Source organism: Homo sapiens, chromosome 10 (genome assembly GCF_000001405.40).
Source record: "Homo sapiens chromosome 10, GRCh38.p14 Primary Assembly".
In the NCBI taxonomy this organism is placed as follows: Eukaryota; Metazoa; Chordata; class Mammalia; order Primates; family Hominidae; genus Homo; species Homo sapiens.
Window position 1 is genome coordinate 121,594,666 of NC_000010.11, and position 17,395 is coordinate 121,612,060.

Consider the following 17,395-nt stretch of genomic DNA (forward strand, 5'->3'; position numbering starts at 1 on the left):
TCCAAAAAGGACTTCGAAGCCTGAATTCCCTTCCCCTGTGACTAAATGGCAGTCCAGGGCTGCTAAATGTCTTCAACCTCTGTAGAAGGGTGAGGAAACTGAGCAGATGCAAATTCTGATGAATAATGCAGGAATTTATTAATAATGATGATGTAAATTATGTAAATTATAGTCATGGTATGTGATTGGACCAATAACTTTCCATATGCAAACCTACTGGCTAAATTTTCAGAGTATAAGTTAGAAGAGGACACTCAACTTAATATTCTGTTCACCCATTTGATCCAAGGGAAAGAGAATTTTCCAAGAAAGCTTAATATATTCCAAGCAACTTTAAATTCACTCAGTACTCTCTGTGACTAAGGGTACAGTAAAATGCACAAACTTTAGAGAATGATTAAAACAATCACAAGAAGGGGCTCATCAATCTCAGGCTTCAGATTCTGTGAACCACAGGAATGAACCACATTTTCTAAGACTGGGGGTGGCAGGGAGGCCTTTAATACAAAAATCTCTAAACTCTACATTTTTTATGTACCCACTCGATGTTTCAAGTTATGTCATAGGATTTCAACACTGCTGGAGCCTCCCCAAATCTCATCATAAAAACTGCTCCTTTTAGCTTTGACTGAGGACAAAAATGGAGGAGGGAAAAGAATATGCCACATCATTTCCAAAGGAGGAATAAAGAAAACCTCTGCTTCAAAGATAGCACAGGTGAAACGGTGTGATTCACAGCAAAAGCAAGAAAAGTATGTGTGCAGTGTGTGTGTGTGTACACGGTGTGTGTGCGTGCATGGTGTGTGTGTATGCACGGTGTGTGTGTGTACATGGTGTGTGCGTGCACGGTGTGTGCATGTGCTTTCAGATAGCTTGAAAGATTTTTCCTCTTAACTTTTCTTTCCTCTTAGTCAAGAGCCTCAGAAGATAATTTCGGATCTATTTCTACATACATGTGGGAGGAAAGTACACAAACATTCTCATTGATTTACTAAGCATTTGCAGAATGCAGGGGAATTTTCTACCTCTAACACGACTTCAGGAACAATCCTAAGTCCTCGCAGAGGTTTCACCCCAGGCTCCTTCCCCGGCCTGCTCGCCCACCTGTCCCTGCCCAGAGGAGCCTCCTTGGCTCCAGGCAGAGAAAGGTGGACAGGGCGCTCCGCTGAATCTCAAGCCGTTCCATCATCCCGCTAGCTGGCACTAGAAATTTGCATTTCAGCCATTTCCAGGTCCAAACCCCACGGCAGCCCCCTCCCCAAAACTCTGGAAGGCGGAGACCTAAGGCGACAGGTCTGCACAGTTCCTCACACCAGTGGACAAAAGTATGGTGCGACCTCCTAGGCAGGATAATTAGGTCCCCAGGCTCGGTGTTGGGAATACAGGCCCAGCATGCCGCTGGCGGCCACAATCCCGGCTTCCTGCCTTCAATACCATAATCCTTCCTGGAGTCTGAGCCCCAGTGAAAGCCCCAGCGTGTTTATTTTTCCCCTTGAAAGGGAACTCTCTTCTCAGCCTGCACGCGGGAGGAGTTGTCACCCTCCCTCTGATGGATGGCTCTTCTCGGCCGCCCGCCCCCCGGTCCATTTTCACCTCGGCACAAGCCTGCCCCCAAAGACAGGCAGAGTGACAAGCAGGAAGGGCTTGGCTGCGGAGCGGTCCCCATGCCAGGCCTGTGCTGGGCTCTTCAATTTACCATGACATTCCCAAAACCCCCGCCCTCCAAGAAGGCAGACCAATACAGTGCCCTCCGCTTTGGGCTTCCACCTAAGGGGTGATCTGTCCACTGCTGGCTCGGCCACTGGGATCACCTGGTGTTTTGTTCCTGGGTAGATTTCACATCAGGAAAGTCAACAGTGTCCGGCTCCTCCAAAGTGCAGACCCATCTCTTCGCTTAAGGCCTCCCTACTTCTCCCCAGCACTGAGTAGGAGCGGGAGCTGTCAAGGGGTCAAGGCTAGGGGGAAATTCCTCAACAAATTGAAATCTCAAAAAACACACACTGACCCAGGACCACAAAGCCCTCCCGGTTTAATGCTTGCGTCCAATCAGAACTTGCGAGCAGCTTGGGGGTGCTCCCCACCACCACCCCCTTTCAGGGCAGCACTTCTTTCATTTGTTTGCCTGAAATATCCTGTTTTTCTCCCCCTTCTCGGGGCGCTAAAGAGCTCAGAGAAATCTGCATTTTAATTGACATTCCAGGGAAAGAGAGAGGGGCGCCTGATTGCTTTTCTATTCAAACTAAACAGGCTTTTCAGATGAAAATGAGTCGAGCCCGGTGGAAGATTTACAGGGATTTGGGACCAGGGAGACAATGGAGTTTTAAATGTTGATAGCGTTTCACACCAAACACATAATGGGTGCCCTGAGTTTGAAAGCAGGTTTGCCTTTAAGGGTAGGTTTTATTGAATTGGGAGAAAGGAAGGAGGGTCTGGAGAACGGTCTGCAAGGGAGCGGGGTGCGAGGAGAGCGACGGAGGCTGGTGGTCCCCGAGCGGGCCTCCTGCGCCAGGTCCGTGGTCCGCGAGGGTCGGAGCCAGCGCCACGCAGGGCCCTCGGCTTTTTTCCCCAGCGCGGCCCCGTGGCCGAAAAAAATGAGCGCGCAAGTTAGAACTCGCCTGCGCTTTCGACATCTCCCAGCCGCTGCGGCAGAGCAGGCAGGCGAACTAGAAAAAGTCGGTCCAGTTCGCCCCCTAGCCCCAGGCGCACTGCGCTCCCTCCAGCGCCGACGGCGGCTGCGGGCGAGGGGCGCCCAGGCACCGGAGCCGTCGCCTCCCCAGCAGTGCCACCCCTGGCCATCGCCACCCCTACGGGATGTCACCGGCCCCACCCCAGCGGCCCCCTCCCGAAAAAGGGGTCTCCGCAGGGCCTGGATGGTACGGAAGTTCCCAGGACACACGGATGGGGCACCTCGGAGATGACCCCGGGAACCGGCCTGCGGGGCTGTGCCACGGGCAGGCGAACCTTCCGCCCGTCTGCTCTGGGGTCGGAGAAACGCGCCCAGTCAGCGGGAATGCGCCCGCCAGGGTTTGACAGGGAGGGGGGCGTCAACGCCAGAAGCAGATGTCAGCATCTGGATGGGGGTAGCAGAGGCAGAACTTCCAGAACGCCGGCCGTCAGCACGCACCCACCTCCCCCATCACCTATGCAGCCACAGAGGGAGGACACGGAGCGTCCTCCACAATGCTAGTCCTTCCGCGCCCCCCGCCCGGAGGACGGTGCACCCGGCGTCCCGGGCTCCCGTGGCGCCCACGTCCCCGGCTGGCGAAGCTCCCCGAGGCGTCTTGCGCGGCGATTACCTTGAATGGCAACGCTCCTCCGCGACCTGTGTTGTCCCCGCGCCCCGCGTGGGTCGGGATGGAGAAAGCGACGAGCCCGGGGTTGCGGGGAGCAACTCCAAACGCAGAAGAGTGGTCCTTGGGTCTTCGCCGGCGCCAAGCCTCCCGGGCTTCACGCGTACCCCAGGCTGCGGAGGAGCGCGGGCATGACGCCCGCGGGCTGCCCTCGGATTTGGGGAACGAGAGGAAGAAAGGACTCAGGCTTGGCGTTGCCTCCACCAAACTTTGCTCGCGAGTTGCGAAGGCTCAGAGCGCGCAGGCAAGCTGCGGCCTCGGGGCCCCCGGGGCTCGCGGCCGGCCCCCGCCAGCCCGGAGAGCAGTCGCCGCGCCGGGCCAGGTACGCCGCATGCAGCCCCGCGGCGCCCGAGCTTTGTGGCGGCCGCGCGCGCTCCCTCGCCCGCTCCGCACCCGCCGCCCGCCCGCTCGGCTCTCCACCGCGCTCTCCTCCAGCCGCCGCCCGCGCCGCCGCCGCCGCCCCCGCCTCCTCGCGGCGGGTCACGCCCCCACTGAAACCCGAGCCGTTTCCTGGACGGCGGCGCCCTCTCTGCCAATCAGCGCCGCGCGCCCGGGCCGCCCCGAGTCCCGCGCGGCTCCCGACGCCTCCGAGCAGCCGGAGACACCGGCCCGGGAGGCGAGGGCTCGGCCGCGATGCGGCCGTAGGGATGCAGCGACAGCCTCCGAATAAGGCCTGGTCCCGCGCCCCGCGCCACCTCCTCCCTCCTCCCCGGGCGAGCGAGGCTGGCCAACGGCTCGCTGAGCGACTGCGTTACGTTGTTTTATGTCAAGTTAGAAAACAAATGACCGAAGGCTCTAACCCTGCCCTCCCGCTAAAGAGACTTTAAAATGCGCCTGCTTGATACTGCGGGGAGGGTTGCCAGGCAGCTGAAGCTTTTGGAGGAGAGGAAGCCACTTGGAAATGTTCGCAGGACATTGCATGTTTCTGTCCTTCTAAACAATAGAAATGAGAGGAAAAAACTGAATATTAATGGAGGCCCTACTATGGGAGGGTCACACTACATAGGTGATTCTATTTCATCTGCCCAACCACCCTGCAGAGTACTATTCCCAGTTTCTGATAAGGAAACAGGATCAGAGAGGTTAAGTAATTTGCCTAGGACCACACAGCTGGCTACTAGGACAGCCTGACTTTGAATGTGGCTCTCTCAGAAAAAGCCAAAATTGCATCAAAAAAAAAAAGTGTTTAATAATATATGTTTGGATTAATAAAAAGAAATTCAAAGGAGTCTAAAGACAACTCTACCATAAATAGACCTTGAACAAAGTAATTCCTCCCTCTGAATCTTAGATTAAAAATCATAAATGCAAAATCTGATTCTTCAACTGCACACCAAGCTGTAACTGGTTAAAGTTCCTATGTCCATTTACCTTTTCACTAAGCCGTGTCTTCGGAATAATTTATTTTAAATATGCTTTTTCTCCCTCCTTATTCATCCAGCTCCTGAGCAGCCGTGCTTAAGTTCAAGACCATATAGATTAAAACCTTAATTATTTTTCTTTAGAAAAGGTCACTAAACCCAGAAATGCTTTAGAATCCTTTTGAGGCCTGAAGATAGATGAAGCATTGAGAACAAACCTGACTTGGAAAACAGACTTTTCCTGGATTTAGAAACATATTTGCACCTGTGTCACTAACATTGCACCCTTCATAACATTTACAAAAATATTTTTCAAGGTGCTACATGATTAGAAAATCATTTTTATTCACAAATATAGCACAGAAAACGTTTATGCAAGTTATTTAAAAGCCACACAAGTAAGAAATCCATTTAACTGCCTCAGGCAAAAGGCTATAACATTGTATTTTGGAAATTTGATAGCAACAAAATAAAAACTGGTTCTTAAGCAAAATTATCCCTCTATATGCTTGGTGGGAGGGTATGTTTTTGGTCAAGTCCTCTAACCTGGATTAGCCCCAGAGCCTATACATTAACGGACACCTCAGCCCAGGTTGACACTTAGCCATTCACTCCCACACGGGTTGTTCTGATAGCAGTATGTTTTCAAGTTCTCAGAAAAGGGATGCAGCTGAACGTGTCTGCCTGCTCGCAGGTTGCCACTTACATCTTTATATTCCCCACCAATGGGAAACTCGAGTGTCTCAGGACAGTTCCTTTCCCATCCTACACCGCATCCATCAGCCATTGAAAATGCTGTTAACACATTCTCACATAAATTAATGGTGCAGGAAGCCGCTGTCCCTATCCCCCATTCATCAATAGCTTTATGCATGTTGAATGGAAAGGAAGCTTTCCGCTGAAAATGACAAATAAGAACACCTACTTTCATGTCCAGGCACAGTTTGCAGAATGTATTTTTTATAGAAATGAAAAGACACCAATCTATCAAAAGCTCCTTATTCCCTAAAGAGGGCTCATATATAAGGGACTGAAACCCACAAGACCACAACAGGAAACTCTTCAGTTTTGAGGAGGGGGGGGAAGTATGTTTAGAATTATTTTTAAAAAATCAATTATGTCCCCATATTTAGTCTTCAAGTGACCTCAGACCATCCAGGAAAACCTTCACACCACTGAGGCTTCTGAATGAGAAAATAATCTCTTTACAGTTTTTTCTTTTCTCTTCCCTCTTCAAGTGGCTGGAACCCCTTTCGTCAATGGCCTCCCATGAATGGTGTTGCTAATAAAGCCTATTAATGAGCTTCCACGGCGGAGTGTGAATAGGTAAATAAGCCCCAATCTGTTGAGGTTCTGGGGCAAGGGCAGAAAAGCCAGTAAGAACTAAAGGTGACAGTTTGAACTGAACTGCGAACGCCAGCACCAGGTTTCAGCTGAAAGAACCGCCAGACAAGGACACATTCACAGTTCCTCCACCCCCTACTGAGGTCTCTTTTCTTCGCAATTTTCCCCCCTTTACAAAATGTCTTGAGTAGTCACCCTTTTTTTTTTTCAAAAGCCCTCGAGACGCCCTTCTTTTTTCACTCTAGTAATGATACATCAATGGGAAGGAAGAAAAATGAGGACACCAGAACTCCGATGCCCCCAAAAGTTTCAAGAAACAAATTGTGCTGCTAGCCCGTTGGTGATGGGAAGAGAAAGGAGAAGGGGGTGGGAGCGCTCACTACCATGGGCCTCTCTCCTTTGAAGATTTGGAATTTTTCTTTTAATAATTTGTTTTGTAATGGGTGGCTGTTCCTTCACTCTATGGAAACGTTAGATGAAATAAAGGCTGCTGACATGAAGTGCTCATGAACCTTCCCGGGTGGATCTGAGCTCCCTGCAACACCAGGAATTTCATTCTCTAAGCTACATCTCAATAGTGCCCTCGGCATAAAAGAAGCACTCAAATGGAAGGATATAGAATAGTCGGAGGACTATGATAAGAGTATTTACTTCTGGGTAAGGGGAGGGGCTGGATGCTGTGACAGCTCCAGCCCATCTTCAGGGAGCTTGTGGCATTTAAGTGAAGCAAAATCATTGATCCCACTACTGAACAGCATCAATGATTTTAAACTTAGAACTGGGCCTGAATTCCAAAGCCAAGGCTTCCCCGGAGACAAAGTCCTTCTGGAAGTATAGCCTCACTTTGAGGCAAAGGGGAATGGCTTTCTTAAGGTGAGAGGCTGGATGCAGCTTTCTTTACTCAATAGCTTTGTGACCTGTGGCCGGGCGCAGTGGCTCACGCCTGTAATTCCAGCACTTTGGGAGGCCGAGGCAGGCGGATCACTTGAAGGCAGGAAGTCGAGACCAGGCTGACCAACATGGTGAAATGCCGTCTCCACTAAAAACACAAAAATTGGCCGCTTGTGGTGGCGCATGCCTGTAATCCCACATACTCTGGAAGCTAAGGCATGTGAATCGCTTGAACCCAGGAGGCTGAGGTTGCAGTGAGCTGAGATCGCCCCACTGCACTCCAGCCTGGGTGACAGAGCAAGATTCCCTCTCAAAAAACAACAAAAAAAGGCCTGGCATGGTGGCTCACACCTGTAATCCCAGCACTTTGGGAGGCCGAGGCAAGTGGATCACCTGAGGTCAGGAGTTCAAGACCAGCCTGACCAACATGGAGAAACCCCGTCTCTACTAAAAATACAAAATTAGCTGGGCATGGTCGTACATGCCTGTAATCTCAGCTACTCAGGAGGCTGAGCCGGGAGAATCACTTGAACCTAGGAGGCAGAGGTTGCGGTGAGCCGAGATCGTGCCATTGCACTCCCGCCTGGGTAACAAGAGAGAAACTCCGTCTCAAAAAAAACAAACAAACAAACAAACAAACGCTGTGTTACCTCAGGCCAGTTGCTTGAGTTATCTGAGTTTTCCATTTTCTCAGCTGTAAAATGGGGAAAATAATGGTTCTTATTTCCTGGATTTTTTTTTTCTTTTTTTTTTTTGAGACAGAGTTTCACTCTGTCACCCAGGCTGGAATGCAGTGGCACGATCTCGGCTCACTGCAGCCTCCACCCTCAGGGTTCAAATGATTCTCCTTCCTCAGCCTCCTGAGTAGCTGGGACTACAGGTGCCTGCCACCGCGCCCAGCTAATTTTTTGTATTTTTAGTAGAGATGGGGTTTCACCATCTTGGCCAAGCTGGTCTTGAACTGCTGACCTCGTGATCCACCCGCCTCGGCCTCCCAAAGTGCTGGGATTACAGGCGTGAGCCACCGCACCCGGCCTCTCCTAGATCTTTAATAGGATCACTAAGAGGATGAAATGAGTTAGGACGTGACAAGCACTTAGTTTTTCTTTGTTTTTGTTTTTTTATTTGTTCGGGTTTTTTTGGTTGTTTTGTTTTTGCCTTTGTTTTTGTTTTTGTTTTTTGGTTTTTTTTGAGATGGAGTCTTGCTCTGTCATCCAGAGTGCAGTAGCGTGATCTTGGCTCACTACAACCTCTGCCTCCTGGGTTCAAGTGATTCTCCTGCCTCAGCCTCCCAAGTAGCTGGGACTACAAGCGCCTGCCACCACGCCCGGCTAATTTTTTTATATTTTTAGTAGAGATGGCATTTCACCAAGTGATCCACCTGCCTCCCAAAGTGCTGGGATTACAGGCGTGAGCCACCGCACCCGGCACTTAATTGTTTTTGTTTTGGTTTGGTTCGGTTTTTTGAGACAGGATCTTTCTCTGTCACCCAGACTGGAGGGCAGTGGCACAATCACAGCTCACTGCAGCCTCCAACTCCTGAGCTCACGCAAGCTTCCCACCTCAGCCTCCTGAGTAGCTGGGACTATAGGCATGCACCACCATGCCCAGCTAATTTTTGTATTTTTTGTAGAGACAGGGGTCTCATTATGTTGCCCAGGCTGGTCTCAAACTCCTGGCCTCAAGTGATCCTCCCTCCTTAGCCTCCCAAAGCACTGAGATTACAGGCGTGAGCCACCATGCCCAGCCTCGCTTAGACATTTTTATTCAGGTGGTCCTCATGGTTTGGAGAAACTTTGACACACGAGCAAGTCTCTTGAGGATTACTATCCATACACAGTAGTCCACCCTGATATGCAGTTTCCTTTGCCATGGTTTCAGTTACCCTCAGTTACCTGAGTTCAGCTGCAGTCTGAAAATAGGTGAGCATAGTACAATAAGATATTTTAATTGAGAGACCATATTCATATAACTTTTATTATAACTGTCCTTTTTTAATTAGTTTATTATTATTAATACTTTTTTTTTTTTTTTTGAGACAGAGTCTCGCCCTGTCACCCAGGCTGAAGTGCAGTGGCGCCATCTCGGCTCACTGCAACCTCCACCTCCCGGGTTCAAGAGATTTTCCTGTCTCAGCCCCCCAAGTACCTGGGATTACAGGTGCCTGCCACCACGCCCGGCTAATTTTTGTATTTTTAGCAGAGACGGGGTTTCACCATGTTGGCCAGGCTGGTCTCAAACTCCTGACCTTGACTGATCCACCCGCCTCAGCCTCCCAAAGTGCTGGGATTACAGGCATGAGCCGCCGTGCCTGGCCTATTATTAATACTTTACTGTGCCTAATTTAGAAATTAAACTTTCTCATAGTGTGTAAGCGTAGGAAAAAACATCCAAACAGGAGGCGTCACAATGCCCATCAGTGCCCACTGCTCCCCAGCAGCGGTCCAGGGGGAGGCAAGGACAGTGCCAGGCAGAAGACACTTTTCCTACTAGGAGAACCACATATAAGGGTGAACAAACCACTGTATATGGCTAAGAATAATCATAGAAAACACGTAACCTTCCCATGTGCCAAAGAGTTTCTCAATACCATGAGGACCATACAAATAAAAATGTCTAAGTGCTTGTCACATCCCAGTTCATTGAATCCTCTTTGACCCTATTAAATAGCTAAGAGATAGCAAAGACACCTCTGTTCCCAAGGAAAGAGCTTCTTGAAAACCACTAGGGACATCTGAATAAAGGCTGCCCTGCTCTAACCATTTCTTGAATTTCTGAGTGACTTGAACGGCACAGGTTGTTCTTCCGAAGGAGACCAGGCCTAAAGGTGAAGAAGTGCATGTCAAACCTATGACAGCGCATCAAGTATGACCCCTGGATTTTACAGGGGAAGAAAGCAGGGCACACAGAGGGATGATGGGCTCAAAGTCACCCCTCTGGTTAATGGCAGCAAAACCCAGAAAAGTCTGTGTTCCTGACTCAGCTGGGGTTACAATGGCCACTAGTACAAGTCCACCATGGCAGGTGAGTCTCACCCATCCAATGCCAGGCAATTGGCTCTTTCTAGGGGATTCCACATCTTTCTTTCTTTCTTTCTTTTTTTTTTTTTTTGAGACAGAGTCTCATTCTTTTGCCCAGGTGTTGCCCAGGCTGGAGTGCAGTGGCGCAATCTCAGCTGACTGCAACCTCCACCTTCCAGGTTCAAGCGATTCTCCTGCCTCAGCCTCCCAAGTAGCTGCGACTACAGGTTCCCGCCACCACACGTGGCTAATTTTTGTATTTTTAGTAGAGACAGGGTTTCACCATGTTGGCCAGGCTGGTCTTGAACTCCTGGCCTCTGGTGATCCAACCACCTTGGCCTCCCAAAGTGCTGGGATTACAGGCATGAGGCACCGCGCCCGGCCAGAATGGAGATATTTCAAGTAGCATTCATTGCCTCTGAAACTGTTACTATTTCCAGAAAACAATTACCCACTCACCATGAGTTCAGCTCACTTCTCCTCCTTCAAGTGCTCCAAGAAGGATTTCTGTAAGGGTTATTATTGTTGTTAATATTTCAAAGAGCCTTCAAGTTTAGGTGCATACGCTTGTTAGACACCTCTTTCACACACCTACAGTTTCATCTGCTGAATCTGCATAGTCTTCAAAATAGGGGAGGAATAAAGGAGCAATTTGTGGTTCACAGAACGACTATTGTCAATAACAAGTGGAAGTGAAAAATTTTTAAGAATTACTAAGACTTGCATTTGAGAAATTAAGACTTAAAACTCTGCGACACATTTGCAGTTTACAAATGAGTAATCGGGTTTGTTGCCCAAAATGCAACGGAAGGGCAATTTGGGAAACTTGAATGCATTCTGTGTTTTTAAAAAAATTAAACAAAAGCAGAAATCACTATAAAAGTGGGGGGGGGGATAATTGGGAAAATTTTAATATTGTCCAGATAGGAGATCATATTAATATTAGAGATTGAATATTAGAGATTGTTGTTAATTCACTTACATAAGATTATGACAGCTTGGCTTTGTAGGAAATTTTCTGTATTCTTATGAGATCCATGCCAAAGTTTAAAGGATTAAATGGCTTGATGTTTACAACTGACTTTCAAGTGGCTCAGGAAAAAAAAGGACAAACACACACAGATAAAGCAAATATGCAAAATGTTAACTCTTGACACTATACAGTTGAGAGTATACATTACTTATTGCACTATTCACCCAACTTTCTTAATGTTTAAACAATTTCACAATTAAAACCTGGGGGAACTCTAGTGGAGGGCATTATGGACTCTGACCCCAGTACTGTCCCTTGTGCCACCCCTGTGGCCACAAACACATTCCTACCTTTGGCTTCTGCCAATCTGAATCTATGAAGGAAAACTGGTAGGTCAATTAGCTGGTTGGCCAAGCCAGCTGCATGTAACATCTACAATGTCCAAGGTCTCAAGGTATTTTTGACAAGTAATGTGGTGCCATAGAAACAGCACTGAGTCAGGGCCCCCAAGACCTGAGTTTTTATCCCAACGTGGTCAAGGGCTAACTATGCAAGTCTAGGCAAGTTACTGAACAAGCCTCATCCCACCCCTAACCTTGGCCTCACCTTCTTTTGCATAACTGAAGTGTCCCCCTTCTATCTTAAAAATAAATTTATCTATGATCTCCGGCCTATCTCTGAACATTCCCCGCCTCCACCTGGAGCTGAAAACTTGTGGTTCACCCATCACTGAAGGCCACCCTGGTGTTACAGGAAGTGAACATCCTCTCCAAAGTATTCTGAAACCATAGTCTAGGAACCGTGCTGTTCCTACTGGTAACAAGTATCTACCGGAAAAGTCCTCTAATCCCTGGCCCATTGCTATTTAAGGGCAATTTATGGCATGTCATTTCTTGGCTGTGACTCCGTGCCTTTCAATCACCCCCACCCTCCACACATCACGACCACTTCCACCACAACGAGGTTTCCCAGCTCACTGGACAGAAACTATACAGGTGGTTTTAGCCAGGGTGGGGTAGATGAGGATGAGATTAGCAACAATATCCCGTCTGCTCCCACCCCACCCACACCCTTATCGCTGCCTGAAGCTATGCTGTCTGATAACGTTAACCACCAGCCAACATGATTATTTAAAGTTAAATCAATTAAAATTAAATAAGACTTCAGCTCCTCAGTAGCACCAGCCACAATTCAAGTGCTCAACAGTCACATGGGGCCAGGCCACTACATTGGAGAGTGCAGTATTATAGGGTATTTTCAACGTGGCAGACGATGTATTGGGCTGTGCTAGAGAGCACACCCTGCTTTCCGCTTCCTCCTCCAAGAAGACCTCCTTAGTCAGAGGAGTCCCCAGGAACTGCTCTTGCTCTCCCTCTCCAGGTCCCCCCGCTCATCACCCCTGGACTGCTCCCCATGCCCTAAATGGGCATCTTGCCTTACCAGGGTGGAGGTAGGGACAAGAATTCTACTCCTTAGATGGAGAACGGTGCAGGAGATACACGGGACAGGTCTTACTGTTGACAATGAAAACGATTTTAGCCGGGCATGGTGGCACACGCCTGTAATCCCAGCACTCTGGGAGGCTGAGGAGGGCGGATCACTTGAAGTCAGGAGTCTGAGATCAGCCTGGCCAACATGGTGAAACCCGGTCTCTACTAAAAAATACAAAAATTAGCTGTGCATGGTGGCATGTGCCTGTAATCCCAGCTACTCGGGAGGCTGAGGCGGAAGAATCGCTTGAACTGAGGAGGTGGGGGCTGCAGTGAGCCAAGATCGCGACACTGCACTCCAGCCTGGGACACAGAACAAGACTCCGTCTCAAAAAAAAAAAAAAAAGATTTTAGTCTGCACCATCACCTTCTGATCCTGGGGCCCCCTGGAAGCAGCTCCTGGTCTCAGTGGGAGTTTCTATGGGCCCTAAATTCCTCCCTTCGAGGATTCCTGCTCCCTCAAATCCTCAGAGATTCACAACTGTGTGCTTTCAGCCTCAAGCCCAGAGGGAGGAAAGGCTTTACTGAACCAAGATAGCCTGTCCATGGAAGAAAGCCTAGCAGAAACTGACCTTGGACAACAATTTTGGTGGAAAGGGGTTAATTGGGGACCACTAAATGCTAATACTCAGAAAGGCCGGGGCTGCATCTCCCATCTCTAGATTCCCAGGACCTGGCACTACCTGGCTAGTGGGAGCAGTTTATGGGGCTGTGTTTATACCTTACAGGCTCTTAATAGATGCTTGTTGATTGATGACTGCAACTCAGCCTCCTCCAGCATTTCCTAATTAAAGCATAAGTGCAAAGAGGCACATGTACATAGGTTTGTGTACACAGTGAGCACGGTCTCTTTAGAAGGTGGGGAATAGAAGCCAGTTTAGGACAAAGCTGATTGAGCTGTGTGAGGAAGTTACCTTTCCCTGCAATTACCTCATTTCCACGATGCGTTTCTTTCTCTTTTCTCTTGATTTCTGCCTTTGCTACACTCTTTCCCGAGGGTGTGTCTACTTCTTCCAAATGTGAAAAGAAGTTCACTTTCGCCAGGCACGGTGGCTCACGCCTGTAATCCCAGCACTTTGAGAAGCCAAGGCGGGCGGATTACCTGAGGTCAGGAGTTCGAGACCAGCCTGGCCAACATGGTGACACCCCGGCTCTACTTAAATACAAGAATTAGCCGGGCGTCGTGGCACACGTCTGTAATCCCAGTTACTCGGGAGGCTGAGGCAGAACTGCTTGAGCCCGGGAGACGGAGGTTGCAGTGTGCTGAGATTGCGCCACTGCACTCCAGCCTGGCTGACAGAGTGAGACTGTCTCAAAAAAAAAAAAAAAAAAGAAGAAGTTCACTTTCATAAACCAAAGGGGAGAAAAATGATGCTGCCAGGATCCTGGTAAACTCGGGGAGGGAGTGGAGAATACAGAGCCCCACACATCGTAAAACCACAAACCTAGTAACCCTTTTAGAGTCCCAGAGCTCTCGTATTGTGTCCCCAAGCTGGGGAGAAAGACCATCAAGTGGGGAGCGATTTCTTTAACAGATTTCTAAGAGCAGCGCTGAGCAAAAATTAACTCCTTCGCGGAGGCCGGATGCTGGCCTGGCGCTGGGGCAGCGCCCGGGAAGCAGGTGGCTCCAGGTGAGGGAGGCCGAGGTCCCGGGGCGCCCTTTGTTCTCCGGGTTCTGCGCAGGGAGGAGCGCATCGGGCGCCAGCGCCCCCGTGTGGCCGCGAGCACCGCGCGCGCAAAGCGGGGGCGAGCGCCGCCCGGGGCGTGGGTGACGGGGCTGGCATCAAGGTAGAGGGCGGCCGGGCAGGGAGGAGGGGCAGCCCCGCCAGCGCCGAGCCCAGCCCTGAAGTCGTTTCGGCTGTGCAGATGATGAGCGACCCAGGTCGAGGCGAATCAGGAGCCCAGGTGCTTGCCCAAGCACAGCTGGACGAAATGTCTGTTACCCCGACGGCTGGGGCGCGGGACCTTGCAGGGACGTGGTGCTGCAGCGGCCTCTGCCTGGGCCTGGCGTGCGGCTACCTCAGGCTAATTCTCCATTCGCTGCGTGGATTCGCCCCCGGGAGGCGGCCCCACGTTTCCAGCCTGTGGATCAACAAGGCGGAGAACCACCTTTGCACCCTCGCCGGGAAACCAGCTCCTACCTCCGGCCCCCTGTTGGGCCTTCTGGCCCTGGTGTTCTCTGGCGCTCCTCTCCCACCAAGGCCCGGCAGTCCTAGCTGTGGGCTGTCCTCTCTCTCTCTCTCTTTTTTTTAACCTCTACCTCCCGGGTTCAAGCGATTCTCCTGCCTCAGCCTCCAGAGTAGCTGGGATTATAGGCATGTGCCACCATGCTTGGCTAATTTTTGTATTTTTAGTAGAAACGGGGGTTTCACCATCTTGGCCAGGCTGGCCTCGAAGTCCTGACCTCGTGATGCACCCGCCTCAGTTTCCTAAAGTGCTGGGATTACAGGCCTGCGCTACTGCACCCCTTGGAGCTGTCCTCTCTTGAAAGCCACCACACCTGCTTCCTTCCTAGTCTCACCACAGCTGCCCTGGAGAGGTACCTGCCAGATTTGGGGCAGCCTCCGCCTCTGGTCTCTCCCCTGCCAGTCACCCTGCCCAGAGGTGGGGACCCCTGTCCTGCCCTTTCATCAGGCCAGTGGAAGCTTTGAAGGTTCCACATTTTCAGGAACCATGGCAACGGCCCTCTTAGCACAGAGTGGGTGCTTGGAGGCTGACGTTTATTGGGTGCATACCATGTTCCATGCAACTGGGATTATGGCCTTTAATGGGTGATCACACTTCAATCACAAGCACCCTGTGAGGTAGCACTACTGTGACCCCCATTTTATAAATCGTGCTATGGAAACACTGAGAGCTCATCCAAGGTTACACAGTCGGGAGGGAGGGCTGACCCTGGAGCCTGTGCTATCGCTTATGCTGCCAGCGTCCCCGTGACGGTGATGGGGTAGTGACTTCAGCTGATGAATGGAAACAGAGGCTAAAGGGGCTGATTCTCCTGATCTTCCCAGAGAAGTTGGCTGTCCCATCCAGATGACAATTGTCCCAGTTTTCAGATGTTGACTCCTTTTCTAGTGGGCCTGTGGACAGCAGGCTGCACCCTCTGCTGTCCTATAGTGGCTGAGATCATGGGACCTGGAGTCCAGCTGCCTGCTCTGGGCCTTACATCTGCCCCTCCTCACCACGTTCTCATCTGTAAAATGAAGTCATGCTAATACCCGCTTCACACAATCTGCGCAGATTGAATGGAATACTTCAGGTGAAGTGCTGAGTGCATGGTGAATGATCAATACTTGTCAGCTGGTACTAGTATTTCCAGACCAGAGGCATCCAGACCTCCCTCTGCAGCTCTGTCTAACCCTATCCTACCCCTGACCTTATTACTTGCTACTTCTCTTTGCTGTGTGACCTGGGGTAGGTTACTCGGCTTTTATGAGCTTCTGTGGCCTTATTTGTAGGCTGTGAATATTAGCGGTAATCATCTTCAAAATTCACCCATAATGGTATTGATTTCAGTAGCAGCTTAGGCTGTCCAGGGCAGGGGACTTGCTCACATTCTTCTAAAGTTCTTCTTAGCATCACGTAGAAATTCATTCCAGTGTTGACTCATGACGGTCAGCAAATTCTTCACCTTATCCAACTGAGTTATCTTTTGCTTTAAATTTCTATTTAAAGAAATCCTCTGTATACGAGGAAAGGATCCATTTGTTTTCTTTGTAAAACTCCTCTGTGTGCTTCAAGCAAGCATTAAGATAATGGTTACCCTCATCTCCTCTGAATCAGATAAGACATGACTTCAGAGCACTGCCGAATTGAGCCGATAAAAGTACAGGACACCCAGTTAAACTTGAATTTCAGATGAAAAACAAATAATTGTTTTTAGTATAAATAGGTCCCCACTATCGCATGAACAAATAGTGCATGGGACATACATCTATGAAGATAGTCATTGTGTATTTGAAATCCAGATGTAACCAAGTATGCTGTATTGCATATGGCAATGCTGTGCTGGCTAGAAGCCACACCCACAGGTTGACTAGTCCGGGCAAGTCCAAGGGAAACAATCATTCTTCCAGGAAATCATTGAGAACTAACACCCTTCTCCTTCCCGCCTGTCTATGCCCAAAAACCCCTTTTAGTATTGGGAGGCGCGCCTGACCAGAAATTCTGTCATGTTTTCCTTGGGGTTGGTTTCCAGAGCCACTGTTGTGGCAGCTTGGGCCTGTTTCATAGTGATCAATTTATGTATTGACAGAGCTATTGAATATTTGGTGATAACTGTAATCATCTGTTCTAAGTCTGCGTTTCCTCCTGAATGAAGTAATAACCCCTGGTGTTTAGTCTGCACTATTGGGAGTGATGTATAACACTGTTGGGATGTCAAGTGTATATGACATGTGCAGCTGTGGTCACTTCCCTGGACGGAGTCTTGCTACATGTGGAGCGTCATTTACGCCGCCAAACAGGGCTGCCTGGAGCTAGACAGAGCCAGACAGAGCCGCCATCCATTTTCCAGAGCCCAGAAACCGTGTCACCAGGGAATGATACGACATCGGCCTTCCTGCCCAGGGCTGCTGTGAGGATCTAGGAGAGACTGCCAGCAAAGCCTGAGACGGCCACTGTGTTTCTTCCCCTGCTCTGTCATCCAGTGGGAGCTGGTGGGTGAAATAGAGCCCCTTATCTAAAATGGAGCCGACCAACCTCCTGCTACAGAGGTGCCCACACCATTCACTTTCCTGGCTGTTTCCAGTGCCTGCCCTGCTTCTCTACCTGGCTCTGATTCTCAGAGCCTGTTTGCCTGTTTTCTTTTTTCCTTCCTTCCTTCCTTCCTTCCTTTCCTTTCCTTTTTTCTTTTCTTTCTTTTTCCTTCTTTTTCTTCTTTCTTTCTCTTCCTTCCTTCCTTCTTTTTCTTTCTTTTCTTCTTTCTTTTCTTTTCTCTTTCTTTCTTTCCTTCTTTCTTTCTTTC

At 49.7% G+C, this 17,395-nt stretch overlaps 1 protein-coding gene across 19 annotated transcripts in view, besides 4 other annotated features; it reads right to left on the bottom strand.

Moving 5' to 3' along the window:
• Positions 1 to 3,793, bottom strand: part of FGFR2 (fibroblast growth factor receptor 2) — a 120,129-nt gene extending 116,336 nt beyond the window's left edge. For 13 of the 19 annotated variants that reach the window (NR_073009.2, NM_001144918.2, NM_001441091.1 and 10 more), the window contains exon 1: positions 3,297 to 3,779. The gene's annotated coding sequence lies outside the window, so the exon portion shown is untranslated. Of the gene's footprint in view, positions 1 to 1,811; positions 1,981 to 3,296 lie in introns of those variants that run through there. The other 6 variants (XM_024447891.2, XM_024447890.2, XM_017015921.3 and 3 more) reach the window with 2 other exon arrangements.
• Positions 1,514 to 2,249: an enhancer, noted in NCBI's record as "OCT4-NANOG-H3K27ac-H3K4me1 hESC enhancer chr10:123355693-123356428 (GRCh37/hg19 assembly coordinates)". NCBI's record gives its function as "activates a minimal SCP1, AML or CMV promoter by ChIP-STARR-seq in naive and primed H9 embryonic stem cells {active_cell/tissue: H9 hESC(naive and primed)}" and the evidence as "EXISTENCE:reporter gene assay evidence [ECO:0000049][PMID:30033119]".
• Positions 2,250 to 2,985: an enhancer, noted in NCBI's record as "OCT4-NANOG-H3K27ac-H3K4me1 hESC enhancer chr10:123356429-123357164 (GRCh37/hg19 assembly coordinates)". NCBI's record gives its function as "activates a minimal SCP1, AML or CMV promoter by ChIP-STARR-seq in naive and primed H9 embryonic stem cells {active_cell/tissue: H9 hESC(naive and primed)}" and the evidence as "EXISTENCE:reporter gene assay evidence [ECO:0000049][PMID:30033119]".
• Positions 14,043 to 14,282: a silencer, noted in NCBI's record as "silent region_2885". NCBI's record gives its function as "represses an Ori minimal core promoter by ATAC-STARR-seq in GM12878 lymphoblastoid cells {active_cell/tissue: GM12878}" and the evidence as "EXISTENCE:reporter gene assay evidence [ECO:0000049][PMID:35858748]".
• Positions 15,883 to 17,082: an enhancer, noted in NCBI's record as "BRD4-independent group 4 enhancer chr10:123370062-123371261 (GRCh37/hg19 assembly coordinates)". NCBI's record gives its function as "activates an origin of replication core promoter dependent on BRD2, P300/CBP, MED14 and CDK7 cofactors, and independent of BRD4, by STARR-seq in HCT116 cells {active_cell/tissue: HCT116}" and the evidence as "EXISTENCE:reporter gene assay evidence [ECO:0000049][PMID:35650434]".